Source organism: Homo sapiens, chromosome 7 (assembly GCF_000001405.40).
Source record: "Homo sapiens chromosome 7, GRCh38.p14 Primary Assembly".
NCBI lineage: Eukaryota > Metazoa > Chordata > Mammalia > Primates > Hominidae > Homo > Homo sapiens.
Genome location: NC_000007.14, coordinates 158,755,645 through 158,773,612, shown reverse-complemented (window position 1 = coordinate 158,773,612; position 17,968 = coordinate 158,755,645). Strand labels below are relative to the sequence as shown.

At 42.7% G+C, this 17,968-nt stretch overlaps 1 protein-coding gene across 9 annotated transcripts in view; it reads left to right on the top strand.

Moving 5' to 3' along the window:
• Nucleotides 1–17,968, top strand: part of ESYT2 (extended synaptotagmin 2) — a 98,513-nt gene that overhangs the window by 55,897 nt on the left and 24,648 nt on the right. For 8 of the 9 annotated variants that reach the window (XM_024446846.2, NM_020728.3, NM_001367773.1 and 5 more), the window contains 7 exons: nt 217–272; nt 5,839–5,959; nt 8,760–8,936; nt 10,448–10,530; nt 12,069–12,117; nt 13,466–13,555; nt 14,032–14,127. In XM_024446846.2, the coding sequence (XP_024302614.2) occupies nt 217–272; nt 5,839–5,959; nt 8,760–8,936; nt 10,448–10,530; nt 12,069–12,117; nt 13,466–13,555; nt 14,032–14,127 (672 nt within the window). Of the gene's footprint in view, nt 1–216; nt 273–5,838; nt 5,960–8,759; nt 8,937–10,447; nt 10,531–12,068; nt 12,118–13,465; nt 13,556–14,031; nt 14,128–16,179; nt 16,609–17,968 lie in introns of those variants that run through there. The other variant, XM_024446849.2, reaches the window with a different exon arrangement.

Here is a 17,968-nt window from a genome sequence, read left to right as displayed (position 1 = left end):
TACTAGCAAAAACTGTGACATTATCAAAAAACAAAAAGAGGCAGGTCTCCACGTACCACCAAAGAAAAATGTCCTTGGTATATTACGAAGGATGAAGGGTGTGGGTCTGTGTTGTGTACTAACCCATTTTGTCTACAAAGAAACAAGCCTGTGTGCACCTGATTCAATAATTGGAAATTGTTTGGAACTTAATATTTTGCCCTTGTTTTAAAACAGCTTTTAGAAATTAACTGGACAGGACTGACGAATCTTCTGGATGTCCCTGGATTGAAGTAAGTCTCGTGTCTGGTCCCGGAGGCTTAGCGTTCGAGGGCGTGTTGTGCATTTTGGATGTCTTGACAATAGTGTGAGAATGGTTAAGACCTGCGTCTGCCAGGTGAATGGGTGCCTTCTCCACAGGCTGTCGTGAGAAACAAGCAGAGGGTACAGGGGCTTTGTTCTGCCTGCCGGGAGCTGCTGGGAGGCGATGGGCCAGGGCGGGAGGGCTCTGGAGTGCCAGCTGAGGACGCAGTCTTCATTTGCGTTTGTTCACCACAAGGTGTCTTCCTGGCCTTGGCATGTTCGAAAAGTAGAGGTCTTTTAATATTTTGTAAAAACAGTTTGCAAATTTTTTTTTTTAATCTTCTCAGAAACAATAAAGGAAACTTTAAAAGGAAATGCTTTCCAGGGTCTCTCCAGCCTATGGCTACCCCACCCTTTCTGCCTTTTTTTTTTTTTTAACTTTTATTCCATTCCTTTTTGAAATGGGTTGGGGACAGTGTGGACTTCTGGACTTCGCCAGAACTCTTGAGTGTGAGAGGTGAGGAACTTGAAGTTCCGTATCATTTCACTGGGAGTCCCTTCATTATTCCGTAGTGATCTAGTGTCTAAAACAGGAGAAAAATGTTCCATAACAAGCATCTGAGGCCCTGGAGGGTGCATCCCTGCTTAGAGACAAGGAGTCATTCTAGTTGCCGTGGTGCCATTACCTGAAACAGTGCGTGGGGCTGTGGGTGGCAGACCTGTTGGTCACCTCCAAATAGGAAGTTTTGAAATTACAGCCTCTAAATGCTTTTGCTGGCTTTACCGTTTTATTTGAAAGTTAAAACATATCACCTGTGGGTTAAAGTTATATGTTTCTAGTGGATATTTTCTAGTGTGATTTGTTTTCCCTAAAATAGTTTAGAAAATTATGAAACTTGGTTTCAGACTATTTTTTTATTCTCATATATTTGTTTATGCCTCTGAAATGGCCTTTCTAAAGAGTTTTGTTTCATTATTAGGGAAAAATTAGGACTTTAATTATCTGAAGCACAGTCATCATGAAAGTCCTTTTTAGGTGCTGTGGTTTACTGGATGCAGAAAAATGCTGTGATCTTTAAAAGATCTGCGGAAAGAAAGCACAACTTTAAAAGATTGGTTAAAGAGTTCATTAAGATTCTGGTTGCAAGCAACAAACCTGACTTAAGTGGTCTTAAGTAGGTAAATAAGTAAGTTTCTTTTTTTTTTTTTGAGATGGAATCTCACTCTGTTGCCCAGGCTGGAGTGCAGTGTTACAGTCTCAGCTCACTGCAAGCACCACCTCCCAGGTTCAAGCAATTCTCCCTGCCTCAGCCTCCCAAGTAGCTGGGATTACAGGTGCGCGCCACCACACCTGGCTAATTTTTGTATTTTTTTAGTAGAGATGGGGTTTCGCCATGTTGGCCAGGCTGGTCTTGAACTCCTGAGCTCAGGTGATCTGCCTGCCTCGGCCTCCCAAAGTGCTGGGATTACAGGCATGAGACACCGCACCCGGCCAGTAAATAATATTTTCAAAAAGCAGTTTATTCACTCTTCCAACAATGGGCGCCCACTGCCTGCTCTGAGCTAGCTGCAGCCGCTCGTGCATGGGACACAGCTGTGCTTGTTTCCTGCTCGGCAGCTGGAAAGCTGGCGTGTCTTCTGAGGGACTTCAGATGGAGCCGGTGTTGGGCACCATAAGGGCTCTCTCGCCAGCTCCCCACCCATGCAGGGTGGGCGTGTCCCTCGTGGGCTTGTTTTCAGGCAGTCTCTTGCTGTGCCTGCAGCTACAAGCATTTAGTCTGCGGACTTAGTCGCCTTTCCCGCTAGGTCCCCGCCCAACTTGTGTGTGCAAGGGCCACCCTTGGACAGATTCCTGCGACTCCGATGATCAGGTTTCAATCTCACATACACCCCTACAGAAGGCAAAGAAATGGAAATTCCAGTGAATGGGGGCATCCCCCAAAGCAAAAACTTTCTCTAGAAATAGGGGGAGGAGATACTGTTTAGCCAAATGGAACAAACATCCACACACATCAGTGTAGAAAAAAGTATTTGATTTTGCCTCCCTTCAGTATCATAGGAGGACTGAAATAAAACAGCATTATTGAACATCTACTCTGTAAACAACGTTGTATTAATACTGGCAACCTGAAAGGGCAGTCAGAGAATGTGTTCTGCCCCGGCAAGCCTACAGTTTGGGGAAGTTGATCCCCTGATTCATTTTATTTAAAAGTCATTCACACATACACACGTAAATACAGAGATAAATATACATGTATAGCTCCATTCTATTTAATAATTTTTATGTAGGCTCTTTTTATACAGTAGTCATTTCTAGCTATTTTATTTTTATTTTTCATTTTGTTTTCAGAGATAGATCTCACTCTGTTTCTCAGGCTGGTGTCAACCCCCTGGGCTCAAGGGATCTTCCTGCCTCAGCCTCCCAAGTAGCTGAACTATAGACTTGTACCACTGCATCCAGCTTCTCTTGTTTTATATGTAGATTTTATATATGTAATACAAAAATATAATCATAAGGCCAGGGGCGGTGGCTCACGCCTGTAATCCCAGCACTTTGGGAGGCCGAGGCAGGTGGATCATGAGGTCAGGAGATCGAGACCATCCTGGCTAACACAGTGAAACCCTGTCTCTACTGAAAATACAAAAAAATTAGCCGGGCATGGTGGCAGGCGCCTGTAGTCCCAGCTACTCGGGAGGCTGAGGCAGGAGAATGGCGTGAACCCAGGAGGCGGAGCTTGCACTGAGCAAAGATCGCGCCACTGCACTCCAGCCTGGGCGACAGAGTGAGACTCCGTCTCAGGAAAAAAAATATATATATATATAATCGTATATGTATAATTATGTCATTAAAAATATATACTTACCTAACAGATAAATACACAAACACCATTCAAAAAACAGGCTGTTGTATAAAAGGGAAATGTAAAAATATCTTTTCTAAGTTTATATATATAGGTATATATAATTTATGCACAATTATGTAGATTTTATATAATAAATTATGTTTACATAAATGTTATGTACTAAAATTTAATAGATATGTACGTAAAATTGGGGCTACTAGTTGTCAGTCTTTCTATCAGATAAATTACAGCTATGGCAACCCTTAGGTTATAAAAGTGAATATTAAATAACTATGAGGCTGAACGCGGTGGCTCATACCTGTAATCCCAGCACTTTGGGAGGCTGAGGCGGGTGGATCGCCTGAGGTCGGGAGTTTGAGACCAACCTAGCCAACATAGTGAAATCCCATCTCTACTAAAAATACAAAAATTAGTTGGGCGTGGGCACACACCTGTAATCCCAGCTACTCGGGAGGTGGAGGTTGCAGTGAGCCAGGATCATGCCATAGCACTCCAGCCTGGGCAACAGAATGAGACTCTGTCTCAAAAAAAATAAATTAATTAAAAAAATAAATAAATAAATAACCATGAACTTAACATAATGAAATCTTGTCCCAAGCTTTATAAAATGAGCATCCACATGTTATATTAATTGATTACAAAAAGAAACCCCAGACATTATAGAGTAAGAATAATGCCTGAATTCCTTCACTACACCATAACTTTGGGCTATCCCTATTAAATATCCATTGTGTTTTAATAAGCGGCTCTAAGCTGAGTGTTGAAGTCGTAAGAAGGGTGAAAATTATGATTAAATATCCGTTATGTTTTGATAAGCGTCTCTAAGCTGAGTGTTGAAGGTTTAAGAAGGGTGAAGATTATGGTGGAAACAAAATACGGGTGATGAGTAGTCGTGGTTCCGAAGGACACACAGGGAAATAGTGACTCCCAAGAAAGTAACCACTTCAATAGACGCTTCTGTGGAGACCTAGGGGAGCAGCATCCACATCCACAGTTCGGGGACATGCAGGGTGTAGTGGGGTGAGGAGGCGCAGTGAGGGGAGCCCCGCCAGGGAGCTCCGTCAGAGCTGCTGTGGCCTCCGAGGCCAGGAGTCTGTGTGTGAGAAAGGTGGGTGGGTCCTGCCTCTGCGTGGTGAACACACAGCCAGTGTCTGCTGGCTGAAGCCCTCCGAATCTCTGTGGAAGTATTAACTGTCTGAATAACTGACCTGTTCATAAGTAGAGTAGTGTTACATATGGTTTTTCTTTTGGGGATTTAAAAAATTTTTTCCCATATTAAACTGAAAAGTCCTTGAGGTGCTGGGTCATCACACGTGGATACTGTCTTGCAGTGGGTGGTTGGGCATTATTTGTTGAACGCTGACGATTATCACGGTCTCAGAATTTATTTGTAATTATGTATGTTAATAATTTTAGCATCTAAAACATTACGGGCGAGAAGCAAAGTACTTTCGCAACTTCACAATTCAGGTAAAGGTGTTATACAGCAACGAAACTTAGGTTTATAAATGTGTTTAAAAGTGCTGCCACATATGCATTATTTAATTCTCACGTTTACCCTAAAGAATAGGACATATATATATGTTTGTTTGTTTAAATAGAGATGAGGGGTCTCGCTCTGTGTTGCCCAGGCTAGTCTCTAGCTCCTGGGCTCAAACAGTCCTCCCACGTTAGCCTCCCCAAAGTGTAGGGATTACAGGCGTAAGGCACCGTGCCCGGCCAAAAAAGATATATTAAAAGTACATCTTTGACCAGGCGTGGTGGCTTACGCCTATAATCCCAGCACTTCGGGAGGCCAAGGTGGGTGGGTCACCTGAGGTCAAGAGTTCGAGACCAGCCTCGCCAACATGGTGAACCCTGTCTCTACTAAAAATACAATATTAGCCAGGCGTGGTGGTGCGCGCCTGTAATCCCAGCTACTTCGGAGGCTGAGGCAGGAGAATTGCTTAAACCCAGGAGCTGGAGGTTGCAGTGAGCTGAGATCATGCTGTTGTACTCCAGCCTGGGCAACAGGATCAAAACTCTGTCTCATTAAAAAAGCAAGTATATTTTTTCCTTTAGCCTAAGCAATTTTATTCACTTAGTTTGCTGTGCAGTGATGTATAGTATTTCAAAAATTATTAATGTGTCCAATACTCAAAGTGTTGGATAATGGATAAGAGAGAACAAAGTAAGTTCTCCTTCAGTGGGGACTGGTGTACAACAACGGAGAAATGAGATGTGTATATGAACATGAATGGGCCAATGAATGTTATTCTCTGTACTTATATGTATGTTTGAAATAGTTTATGTTAAAAAAAGTCAATGAGGTGTATTTTAGTAAATAAGTATAAAATCTGTGATGAAGTAGGAATACATTAAATGTTATTTAGGAAATTATGAAGTGTATTAGGTTGGTGCAAAAGTATTTGCAGTTTTTGCCATTTTAATTGCAAAAACCACATTACTTGTGCAATAACTAGAATTTTACCTTGTATTCTATAAATAAATTCTGTATCATAGTCACCATAGTGGTATCACAGCTAAAGAATTGAAATGCAGGTTGTAAATATTGCACTGGAGGAATGAGATAACTCCTACTCTGTAAATAAATGGGACTTACATCATATTCGTGGTAAGTCTGTTGTCAAAGGTGAGAGAAGCATTCACATGTCTGATAGTCCGTTTGCTCTTTTTGTCTCCCAACTAACAGTGGTTTATCAGATACTATCATTTTGGATATAATATCAAACTATCTGGTGCTTCCCAATCGAATCACCGTTCCACTTGTCAGTGAAGTTCAAATAGCTCAGTTGCGGTTTCCTGTACCAAAGGTAAGCGTGTCCCGGCATCCATTCACATTTAAAAACATCTTGGAGACCTGCCTGCCTGCGGGTGTGGCATTGGGTGCTGTGACTCTTTGTCTCTCCCCAGCAGCCAGCTTGCCACACGGGTCTTGATGCATTGACTATTGGTTGTCCGTCACTTTCCTTAAGAGACTTGACTGATGTGCGCTGATCCTAAAGCTTGTCGTGGAGACAGCAGGATGATTCTCACCCCATAGCTGTGTTCCTCAGAGGGGCTGATAGGGATTTAAATCTGCAGGGGTACATGGCACGGACATCTTAGTTACCTCAGAAAGCACATACTGCATTTGTTTTTATTAAAATGGACAGCCCTCAGCAACAGGCACCAGTTTTCCTGGCAGTCATGATGAGAGCTTCATGTAATAATTTGTATATTTTCTCTCAGATGTTAGAATTCCGTTGCCTCTGAAGCCATTTAATGAGTAACCTGGTAGAAGAAGCACTTATACAACAGCTGCCCTGGATAAAATGGAAAGAACAAAACTAGATTTTTGTCGCAGCTCTTGAGTTTAGCTGTAGCTTTGCTTTTATGGGTATATTACTTGGTGTGGCTGGGCCACAGTTTTGTCATCTGTAAAATGGGACAGCACCCAGCACACAGAGCTGGTTGCAGATACTGATGTCACCTTCATTTGAGCAAACTAAATAAATAACTGCAAAGTAGTCAAGAACATGAGATTCCTTCTGCTGACTATGGAAGGGGTGGGTGGAGTGAAGGATCTCTCATGGGCTAAGGAGCTTTTCAGTCACTCAGGTGTTAGATCCCATGTCTGTTTAAGTCTGTCTGGACTTTGGACTCCAGAAGCCAGTGAGCATTACCACCGTGGTGGTGTCTGTAGTAAGCAGTGCACACCACATTATTTATATTTACTGAAACAGGACGTGGTAAGTTGGTCCTGTTTCAGTGGATATGTTGTTTTTATTTTTGTTCGCTGAAGTAGAAGTAGATCGCTTTCTCCTGATGCCTTTTTACTTTTTCTGGTTTAATTAGATCTAAATAATGGTGCACAAATTAACAGACATGCAGAGGTATCCTTATATTTTTTAAGAGTAACAATATGCCAGTAAATTTGGTGCTCAAATTGGTTATATCGCTGGCATTCAACAGCTTTAATGTGATGCTGTATATTAGAAAAGAATGTCTTTTTTCCTTAACTTCTGACTCTCACCTCTGGAAATGCAGGAATCCCTTTACTTGTAGAAATCCTCTGCACCTAAGCCTCTTATGCTCTGAGTACAGGTGAGCACCTGAGCCTGGATCTGGCTGCCCTCAGCTGCATGGGCTTAACAGCCGGTGCTGTCAATAGATGTGGCCAGATTATCTCAACTTTAGACATGTGAAAATATAAACAAGAGCTGCTTCGAGTTTTCCAAGTGTGTTCCTCTGTGGGGGGACATGTATTCCTGTGCTGATTGAATGAGGAATATCACTCTGTAAATTTTTTTTTTTTTGAGATGGAGTCTCGCTCTGTCGCCCAGGCTGGAGTGCAGTAGCACAATCTCGGCTCACTGCAAGCTCCGCCTCCCGAATTCACACCATTCTTCCACCTCAGCCGCCACCACACCTGGCTAATTTTTGTTTTTTAGTAGAGATGGGGTTTCACTGTGTTAGCCAGGATGGTCTCGATCTCCTGACCTCATGATCCGCCCACCTCGGCCTCCCAAAGTGCTGGTATTAGAGGCGTGAGTCACCGCACCTGGCCATCACTCTGTAATTTTAAAAAAGGATGTGTGGGGGCAGAATGCTTCCTACCAAAAGGTGACTTGAGCATCTTTGTTTGCCTTGGAAGAAATAAGAGTGAATTTTTTTTTTATTTTATCAATAAAACAATATTTTCGGGAAAGGACTATATTTGGTTTTTTTGTTCGTTTATTTATTTATTTTGAGACAGGGTCTTGCTCTGTCGCTCAGGCTGGAATGCAGTGGCGCCATCTCAGCTCACTGCAAGCTCTGCCTCCTGGGTTCAAGGGATTCTCACACCCCAGCCTTCTGAGTAACTGGGACTACGGACATGCGCCACCATGCCTGGCTAAATTTTTTGTAATTTTAGTAGAGATGGGGTTTTGCCATGTTGGCCAGGCTGGTCTTGAACTCCTGGCCTCAATTGATCTACCCACCTCGGTCTTCCAAAGTGCTGTGATCACAGGCATGAGCCACCGCGCCTGGCCAAGACTATGTTTAAAGTCTATGAATAATACATATTTCAAAGTTGCAGTTTTCTCCTCTCTAAAATAAGTTTAATGACAGGATTGCATAGAATTATTCTGAAAATGAAACAGCATAGTTACTACATGTCTAATGCTTCGTGACAGGTCTGATACAACCTCTCATGTTATTACTCACTGTAGCACCAGGATCTAGTACAGCTGGGTGGCCTGTGTCACCAGCCTCCTTGAGATAAGCATGGTACTGTGCTGGGTCCTCTGCATTCGGCGTCCCTCTGCCAGGAGCGCGCTCTGGGGCTGCGTGGGGCTGTCTGTCCTCGTGTCTCTGTGGAGGGGTTGTCCCTCCAGAAGCCCATCTGTTCTCCTCTGAGCCAGCCTCACCTGGGCACTGCTGCCTTGCCCTGCTCTTGTTTGTCTCAGCACCTGCTTCTCCTATACACACTTGCATTTCCCCGCTGCTGGGATGTACTCGGCACCAGAAGAGGGTCTTTATTCCCTCGGCACTCCCAATTCTCGAGACGGGGTTAGGTGCGTAGCTATCTTCCATGCCAGTTAAACAAGCCAGCCAAGGGTCTAAACTTCAGTTTGTTCTTCTTTTCAGGGTGTTCTAAGGATACATTTTATTGAAGCTCAGGATCTTCAGGGGAAAGACACTTACCTTAAGGGACTTGTCAAGGGAAAGTCAGACCCCTATGGAATCATTAGAGTTGGCAACCAAATCTTCCAAAGCAGAGTCATCAAGGAGAACCTCAGTCCAAAGTGGAATGAAGTCTATGAGGTGGGGTGTCGTGTCTGCTGTGTTGCTGGGGTGGTGGGCTGAGCCCTGAGCGGGATGGCCAAGCTCTCATTCCAGCACAGTCACGTGGGAGTGTGGCTCATTTAGGCCATCATTTAAATGTTCCTTGTTTAATTTCCCATCTTTAAAAAGTGTCGTACCTTCTCTCCTTACTACACAACATTCTTGTCATGCCAACAAGTAATGTTTTAAACCTTAATTACATAATGCTATCATACTGAATGATCAGCAAAATATTTTTCATAATGTGAGTAGCTTGTATTTCTAAGTATAAAATGTTACGTGTGGTTATTAATGCAGTAAACACAAAAATGAGGTTAGTTATATACCTCCTTGCAAGCTTTTTTTTAAATTAGGACATCTTCACATGTCAATGAATAGAGATCTACGTGATTTTTAATAACCATTCCATCGAATAGACGCCTTCATCTGTTTACCCAGAGAGGCCTAGGCTATTCAGGTCAGCATTACAAACAATGCTGTACAAGTAGAATGTGAGTGTCTCTTCACTCAGCCAAGTTTTCCCCAGATAAAGCTCTTTAAAGTGAAATTGCTGGATCAAAAGTTACACATTTTTAAAGGACTGAAATATCTTTGTAGAATTACCCTTCAGGACAGTCGTGTGATTTATACTCCACCAGTTTTTAAAGGACTGACGTATGTGTAGAATTACCCTTCAGAACAGTCGTACGGTTTATACTTCACCGTACGACTCCTCTCCCCCACTCCTTTGTGAGTCTGGTCTCTTGCCAGTTTCTTACCCTGAGTGGTGCTAAGCAGATAACTCGTGGTTATTCCAAGATAGCATCTGAGTGGAGCCACTTCAGGACTAGAGGGATGTGTCCTGGATCTTTGGTCTGTCTCATGCCTTGCACCAAGCTTGTGGGTGACGTATCATGACCTTGTTGGAGTGATTGAACTTGATCTATTGAGACGCAATCCAGGATCCCTAGAAACAAGCACGGTAGACTGTTACTGTGTGGCAGGTGTTTCAGTGACCTCCCGTCCTCAAGAGGTGTGTGTGACTTGACAATAAAAAAATAAGTGTCCTAAAAGAATTTACTGGCTGGGTGCGGTGGCTCACACTGGTAATCCCAACGCTTTGGGAGGCCGAGGTGGGTGGATCATTTAAGGTCAGGAGTTTGAGACCAGCCTGGCCAACATGGTGAAACCCCATCTCTACTAAAAATACAGAAATTAGCCGGGCATGGTGGCACATGCCTGTAATCCCAGCTACTTGGGAGGCTGAGGCAGGAGAATCGCTTGAACCCAGGAGGCGGAGGTTGCAGTGAGCCAAGATTGTGCCACTGCACTCCAACCTGGGAGATAGAGCGAGACTCCATCTCCAGAAATAAATAAATAAATAAATAAATAAATAAGGATTTACCACCAGAGAAAAGTACCTGGTCATATTTACTACAATCATCATATCATACTCAGTGTATGACTATATTAGTAAAAATGCACTTAACTACTAACCATTGATGTTTTAGGCTTTAGTGTATGAACATCCTGGACAAGAATTAGAGATTGAGCTCTTTGATGAAGACCCAGACAAGGATGACTTTTTAGGAAGGTAAATAAAGCCCATTGTGGTTATTGGAGGAGGGCATGGGGTCAGTCTTTTTGTTTAATAATCAAAAGTATGTTTTAAAATACATTTGTATACTTGTTGTCTATTCATTAAATGGTTCTTAGATATAACAATTGTTTCACCTTGGATTTCTTAAAACATTTTTATTCCTAAAAGTTTCACATTTAAGAGAAGTGAGTCTTCTAGATCTGTGCTGTCTATTACAGCAGGCACTAGCCTTAAGTTAATTAAAGTTAAATAAATTAAAAACTATCTGAGTGGCACTCTCTTTGTTTACAAGGCTTAAAGCTACATGCAGAACCTGCCGCCGTATTGAGTTCTAGTGGACAGTTCTATTCCAGATTGCAAAAATGGGTTTTTTAAGTTTTTTGAGTTGCTGGATTAATTTTTGTCAGGATATAGTAATTCACATTGGGAAAATAAATACTGGTTTGTTCACTTCAATTGAACAACTAGTATAGCTTTAAAAATAAACTTTTAAAATGGTTATTGTTTGACCACCATTTGTTAATATCAATTATTTCTGATTAATTTAACCTAATTAAGTTATTTGACTGAATTAAATTGTGGCAAAAAAGATGTAGGGATAGAATACATTGGAGAGGTTCATACCTCATCAAGAATGGCCCTTGCACGTTGTGGCCTGACTTGAGAGTTCATGAGACTTCCCAGGACAACTAGGAACAATTGAGAGATTTTAAGCCAGACAGGATAGATCAGGTGCTCATTCTAGGAAAATCACTGTGTGGATTGGATTGTCGGGGGCTGAGCTTAGAGACTGGCAGACCAAATAGGAGAGTGTGTCATAGACCAGGACAGAGAGAAGGCGGTGTAGACATAGATTGTGGGGGGCAGAAGAGGCTACAAGAAGAAGTGGGAGTATAATCATCCCATCTAGTTGTATCTGGCGTCTGGGGGTGGTGCCAATCTTGGAAGTACGGGAGGTTTAGGGGAACGGGAATGGGCCTCCTCTCAGATGCACCGAGTGAGGGCGTCCATCGGGCTCAATGCAGCATGGGTCTAGAGCCTGGGAGCAAGGGTGGGGGAACGTGAGGTTAGCGTTCACTGTGCGAGTGAGGAATCCACAGTAACGCACAACCCTACTGGAGTTGTGAGTGAACGTATAAAATAAGACGTTCCAAGAGGACGTGTAAAATAAGAGGGTTGAGATGCTTTCAAACATTTTTTGATGCATGTAACATTGTAGGGAAGATGAGTTGTTTTTGTTTTTGTTTTACAGCTCTAACCTCAGCTGGGCCAAACTCAGTATTCTGAGCTCACAGAAACTCCACCTCACTCTTCCTTACTCTCCTGACACTGGGGGTGAGCTGGAGGAAGCTTGTGGAAAAATAGTCTGTTCCTTGATAAATTATTAGCGTTTTGTTGCATTTCTGGAGTGCTTGTTCATAGACAAATGCTTAAGGTTGTTTCAGGAAGAAATGTGTTTTCTATGTTTTAAAGTTGTTTCAGTAAGAAATGTGTTTCTATGTTCTAAAGTTGTCGTATTGTTATTTTTATAGTCTTATGATTGACCTCATTGAAGTTGAAAAGGAGCGCCTTTTAGATGAAGTAAGTTTCCCTGGAGTGTGGGTCTGTTTACAATTGTTGACTGAGTCCCTGCCCTGTGCCAGAGGAGCCACGAACCACCCCTTCACCATCACACAGTGCCGGAATCCTAATTAGTATGGCATGAACAACATTTACTTAACATATACTAAGAATTTAGGCCTTTTAGAAATAGCAAATGAAAAATAAATTTAAGAGTCCATTCAGGTGCGTGTTGAGTCCCTACCATATGCTGGGAATCCTTACGGATATGAAGCATAAACTGACGTTATTGCAGACAAATATGCGATCCCCTGCAGGAGTAAGGGCAGGGCTGTGCGAGATGCCCCCTAGTGATGGAGATTTTCAGGTGTTTGGAGGGAATGGTGGAGAAGGCACAGTGCGGCCAGTGAGGCATCTCACGTGAGAGATGCCTGTAGAGACAGTGGGAACTCATGGCAAGGAGACTCGACTTCCACCATTTTATTGCTATCAGAATAAAAAGTATCAAAAAGGAAACATTTGTGGTGGCTTCTAAAAGAAGGGTAAGATTTAGATAAATGAAGCAAAATTAAACAAAAGTGTTGAATTCTGCTGCTTTCGTAATCACACGTTTCCTTCCCTTGAGTGTTCAGCATTCATTGGCTGTGACATCTCGTTTTCCTGGGTGTGCCAGGCACTGGATGGACAGTCCTGCCCATGGCTTCTATCATTTAGCATTTGAGGAGCATCTTTGATTAATTATTTTGTGACTTTTAAGCTGATACAACTGTATACTATTTTATTAGTATAGAGTGATGAATTAGAACAAACAGATTAAATCGTTTGATACTGAAATTCAGTATTTGGAATCAATGTTGTATTACCTCTTACCCTGTACATTCCGTTAAAGGCCATTTGGTGGAGCATGCTTGCCTACACCTGTGGTCCCAGCTGCTGGGGAGGCTGAGGCAGGAGGATCGCTTGAGCCCAGCCTGGGCAACACAGCAAGACCCCTATCTCAAAAAAAAGAAGTCTATTCATAGAAGACTTTACTGTCTCTAGGTAGTGCTAGAAAACATTTGAATTCTTATGTGTAAAGTGGGAATGATACTAGTACTTGCTTAGGGTTTCTGTCGGGGTCACGGGGTTGGTGTGTGTAAAGCACTTAGAATGGTCGCTCACACCTGTTGCTGCCATCGCCTCCAAACGTGAGGTCACTGGCATCCACATAGCGTAGAGCTGGATATGGTGAGGCTCAGCCTTCGCGTTACTGAGAACTGTTGATGCCTCGTGGTTAGTGAGCAGCATGGAACATTTGTAGAGACTGGGTTTAATTTGGATTTTTGATTCAGAAGAACTTTTGCTGAACGTAAACATTTTTTCTCTTCAGTGGTTCACTCTGGACGAGGTTCCCAAGGGGAAGCTACACTTGAGACTGGAGTGGCTCACGTTAATGCCAAATGCGTCAAACCTCGACAAGGTGCTGTTGAAGCATGTGCTCTTGAAAACTACCTAACCAACTACTCCTCATAACTGAGCTTGGTCTCTCAGTTGTGTTGCTACTTGATTTTTTAACAATTATAGCAGTAATTTTCATTATTGTGTAATAAGTCACTACAGTAGCATCAGGGATAAATTAAAGATAATGGAGTTTTTAAAATGAAATTTATAGGTCCTTCATACCTGTTTTATCAGATCTTCAGTTTTGAGCTTGTTAAAGTGCAGGGATTTGTAGAGCCAGAAATCACCTGAGTGCTTCATTTAATTGACTTATATATGGAATAGTAGTCTTGTTATTTAAAAGGCATTTATTGTTTTAGTTCTGTCTCTGTTGCATGGATTGGATGGTTTCTCACCTTTCTTATTTTTAGCGTAATCAACATGATACAATCAGATAGAAATAGTATCTAATCCTGTGGAAACATGGCTGCTAAGGGCTTTTTCCTTTCCTTTTAGGTGCTAACAGACATCAAAGCTGACAAAGACCAAGCCAACGATGGTCTTTCCTCTGCATTGCTGATCTTGTACTTGGATTCAGCAAGGAACCTTCCGGTAGGTAACACAGTGGTAACACCTGTGGGTGCGTATTTCCTAGCAGCTGCTCTTGCTTATAACCACTGCTTTGTGCAGCACTCTGCATCACCTGTTCTCTTCTTGTTGTGTTTTCACTTCACGTCCAAGTGCAGGAGAGTGGCAGTGGAGAGGGAGAAGTTAGTGTTTGCTCTGGGAGTGCATACATTTCTGTTTACACATTTAGCTGGATTTGTGCAGTACATAGGAAAAGAAGATGAATAGTGGTTAGGAGAAGAGGTTAACTCTCTAGAAAATCACTAAGCATTAAAACTTAGTTGCCTTAGGATGGAAATTGTCTCTCTTTGGAATGGGAATAAAATGAAGCAGCTCTGATTACAAAATGCAGATTCCTCATGGCTGTCGCAGGGCCGTGCGTGAGCTGCTGGGCCTTGGCGATCCGTGGGGCATCAGATGGCAGAATGGTGCTGCTGCACAAGCGAGCTGGCCTCCGGGTGCCTGGGATGTTTCTCGCAGAACAAAAGGAAGCCATGTCTCGGAATGACCTACTGCCAGATACAAGACACTCTGTGCCTAGAAGCATATATTTTTGTTTGTATCAGAATTGTTCATTCGTAGAGAAAAAATGTAAAATGTTGTTTTATAGGTAATAACCGTAACCACAGAAAAGGAAGATCTTACTAATTCCATCTTGTGAGGCATAGTGTGCTCTCCCGTCATCCTACCTTAAACCCTGCTAGTGAGGATAGTGGTGTGGTCCTTAGTCATGTCATCTTGTTTGATGATTTTAGAGTGCCCATACACTTGCTGACTAGGCACTCAGTGTTTATTTCATCGTGTCCACAGCCGCTTTTGTTGGAAGAAAGACTGCTGCCACGCGGTGCAGAAGTTTCTTTCCTCCCCAAGTTGTTCATTGCATAATTCCTCCTCCACAGTAAATACTCATCCACCCAAGTGCATTTGTACATAAATCGTCTTCCTGTGTCTTTTCTCCCTTTGTCAGTGTTTACCAGGGAGATAGACAAGAAGGCAAAGAAGCGTTTAACTCACTTCTTGACACACATCCTGGACCTCAGTTATCGGCCTCTCGATCCCCTGTAGTCTTGCCTTGCCGTGGTCAGACTACGCTTCATAGTTCACGATATGCACGCCCTTGGCTTCCTCCAGCACCTTCCACGTTCTGAGAACTGTGCATTTCCTTGAGCTTTGCACAGAAATGAAGTAAATACTTGTGCACCCGTGCATTTTATTTAAAGTTACCTACAATTAAGATATGATTGATCACTTATATTTCATACTGGGAGGATGTGATTGTACTCTTTGTTGTATGTAATTGTATATAATTGCACTGTTTATTTCAATGAAGCTTTCTTGACCGATTTTAACTTCTTAGAAGAATTCTTACATTTCTCTTATTTACCTTAGCCTTTGATCAGTCTTCCAGTCTAAAGTCTGTGACTTTACCTGTTACAATTTCAATTTGGAAAAAGTTATTTCATTAAGTATTTAATCTTTCCACAGAATTTCTATACAGTAGAATTGTTTGCTTTTAGCCATGGTAATGTTTGTTGTAAAGGCTTCCATAATGCCTGATGGAAGTGAATTTGTTTTCTATTTTAGGGTAGAGAGAATAGTATCAGTGAATTGACTACAAAAGGTTAGGCCTCTTTAGAACTGTGTGTGTTGTCACATTAAATTGAAATTTGAATAATGTCACATAAGCAAAAAAAACAAAAAACAAAAAAAAAAAAACCCAGAGAGACTGTATTGATCTTCTGTTAAAAGGGCACTTTGTGCATGGAATGTGCTGTGGCCATCAGAAGCAAAGGATCTTTGCAGAGCCGCGGGGTGCCTGGCGCGGGATTAAGGGGCGTCCCGCGGGCTCTAGGATCCTTTGGCTCTGGATTAAGGGGCGTCCCGCGAGCTCTGGGATCCTTTGGCGCTGGATTAAGGGGCGTCCCGCGAGCTCTGGGATCCTTTGGCTCTGCCTCTCACTGTCTGTGGTGCTCCTGGTGCTCTCATTGACCACAATCCACCGTTCTCTGCTTTCTCCCCTGGCTCCACTGCCCTAAGGGCATCTACGAGGGAAACTTTGGGTGTGGCTACTTAAAAGAGAGGCGAGCGTCGGGACTAGTGTTTTGTGAAAATACCGCCTCAGTCTATAGAGCACTATTTGTGAGTCCTCCGGGGTTCTTTCTTTCTTTGTCTGTTTGGAAACTGCCAGAATGTGGACTGGAACTTCTAATGCAGTTGGCTGGCGGTGGACTGATGTTGCATGCTTTTATTTTCTTGCATGATTTTAACTATTGTGTATTTATTTTGTGCTTGTTTTGTGAAATGTAACACTGTTGTAACATTGGAGAGCATCTGACCATGAGATGAACAACCCTGGCTAGTAGAGAAGTGGTCCTCCATTCCTCAACTGCTACTGGCTCGTTGAAAAAAACCTCTCCTGAGGAGAAATGAAGCCATAATGATTAAAATTCATTTTCTTGTGGTTCATCTCAATGTGAGATGTAAATTTTTTTGTAAAGTTTCACAAAACTGTTTTAAAATCTATCCCCTCCTTTTTTTTTTTTTTTTTTTTTTTTTAATTTGAGATGGAGTTTTGCTCTTCTTGCCCAGGCTGGAGTGCAATGGCATGGTCTCGGCTCACTGCAACCTCCACCTCCCATGTTCAAGTGATTCTCCTGCCTCAGCCTCCCGAGTAGCTGGGATTACAGGCACCCACCACGACGCCTGGCTAATTTTTGTATTTTTAGTAGAGACAGGGTTTCACCATGCTGACCAGGCTGGTCTCCAACTCCTGATCTCAGGCAGTCCACCCCCCTCGGCCTCCCAAAGTGCTGGGATTACAGGTGTGAGCCACCATGCCCGGCCTATTATCCCTTCCTGATCAAACACGCAAGAGTCAGAACTAGGGCCTTCTTTGAAAACCCTGCTGTGTAATCAACTCTCAGTCATTTGGGGGATGGTCACGTGAAGATAGAAATTCACCCATTTTTTAAATAAAAATTTGCCTTCACTTACATGATTTACCCAGAGCTCCTAAGGGAGAAGAAAAGTATATTAAGTTTGTGATTCACTTTCTTTTAAGACACTTAAAGACCTTCCTGGAGTGGATAATTGAGCGTGTCTTTGTTCCCATCTCATCATATGTTGCCCGTCTGGCACTGGATACCTGTGCTGTTCTCTGTGCTTGCAGTAGAGAGCCGTTTTCACCTGCTTCAGGGCCACAGGGGGCCACAGCGTCTTAGTCATTAGCCCAGAAAGTCAGACTTCATCCAACTGACAGTGAGATTCTTACGGCCCAGTTGTCCCTTAGTAGAGCAGTGATAGCGCTTTGCATTTTTGTAGAGTTTTCATTTCTATTTCCAAAGGATTTCCCTATGCATTCTCAGTTTATTCTTATTTTTTAAAGTAGGGGGAGCGTAGGGGGCAAAACTTGAAGAGCAGGTATTTTGTTTATTTATTTACTTAATTATTTTAAATTATATTTTTAAGTTATAGGGTACATGTGCACAACGTGCAGGTTTGTTACATAGGTATACATGTGCCATGTTGTTTGCTGCACACACCAACTCGTCATTTACCTTAGGTGTTTCTCCTAATGCTATCGCTCCCCTCTCCCCCTACCCCCTGACGGCCCCTAGTATGTGATGTTCCCCGCCCTGTGTCCAAGTGATCTCATTGGAAGAACAGGCATTTTGCCCTGTCTTACAGATGAGGAAAATCAAGACCCTGAGGGGTTAGGTGAGCTGTTCAGAGTCACAGCGATAGTAAGTGGTAACCATAGTCTCTCTGGCTGTCTACTCATATATGTCTAAGGCCTTTTTAAAGTCAAAGTGAGGTCAGCAGTACC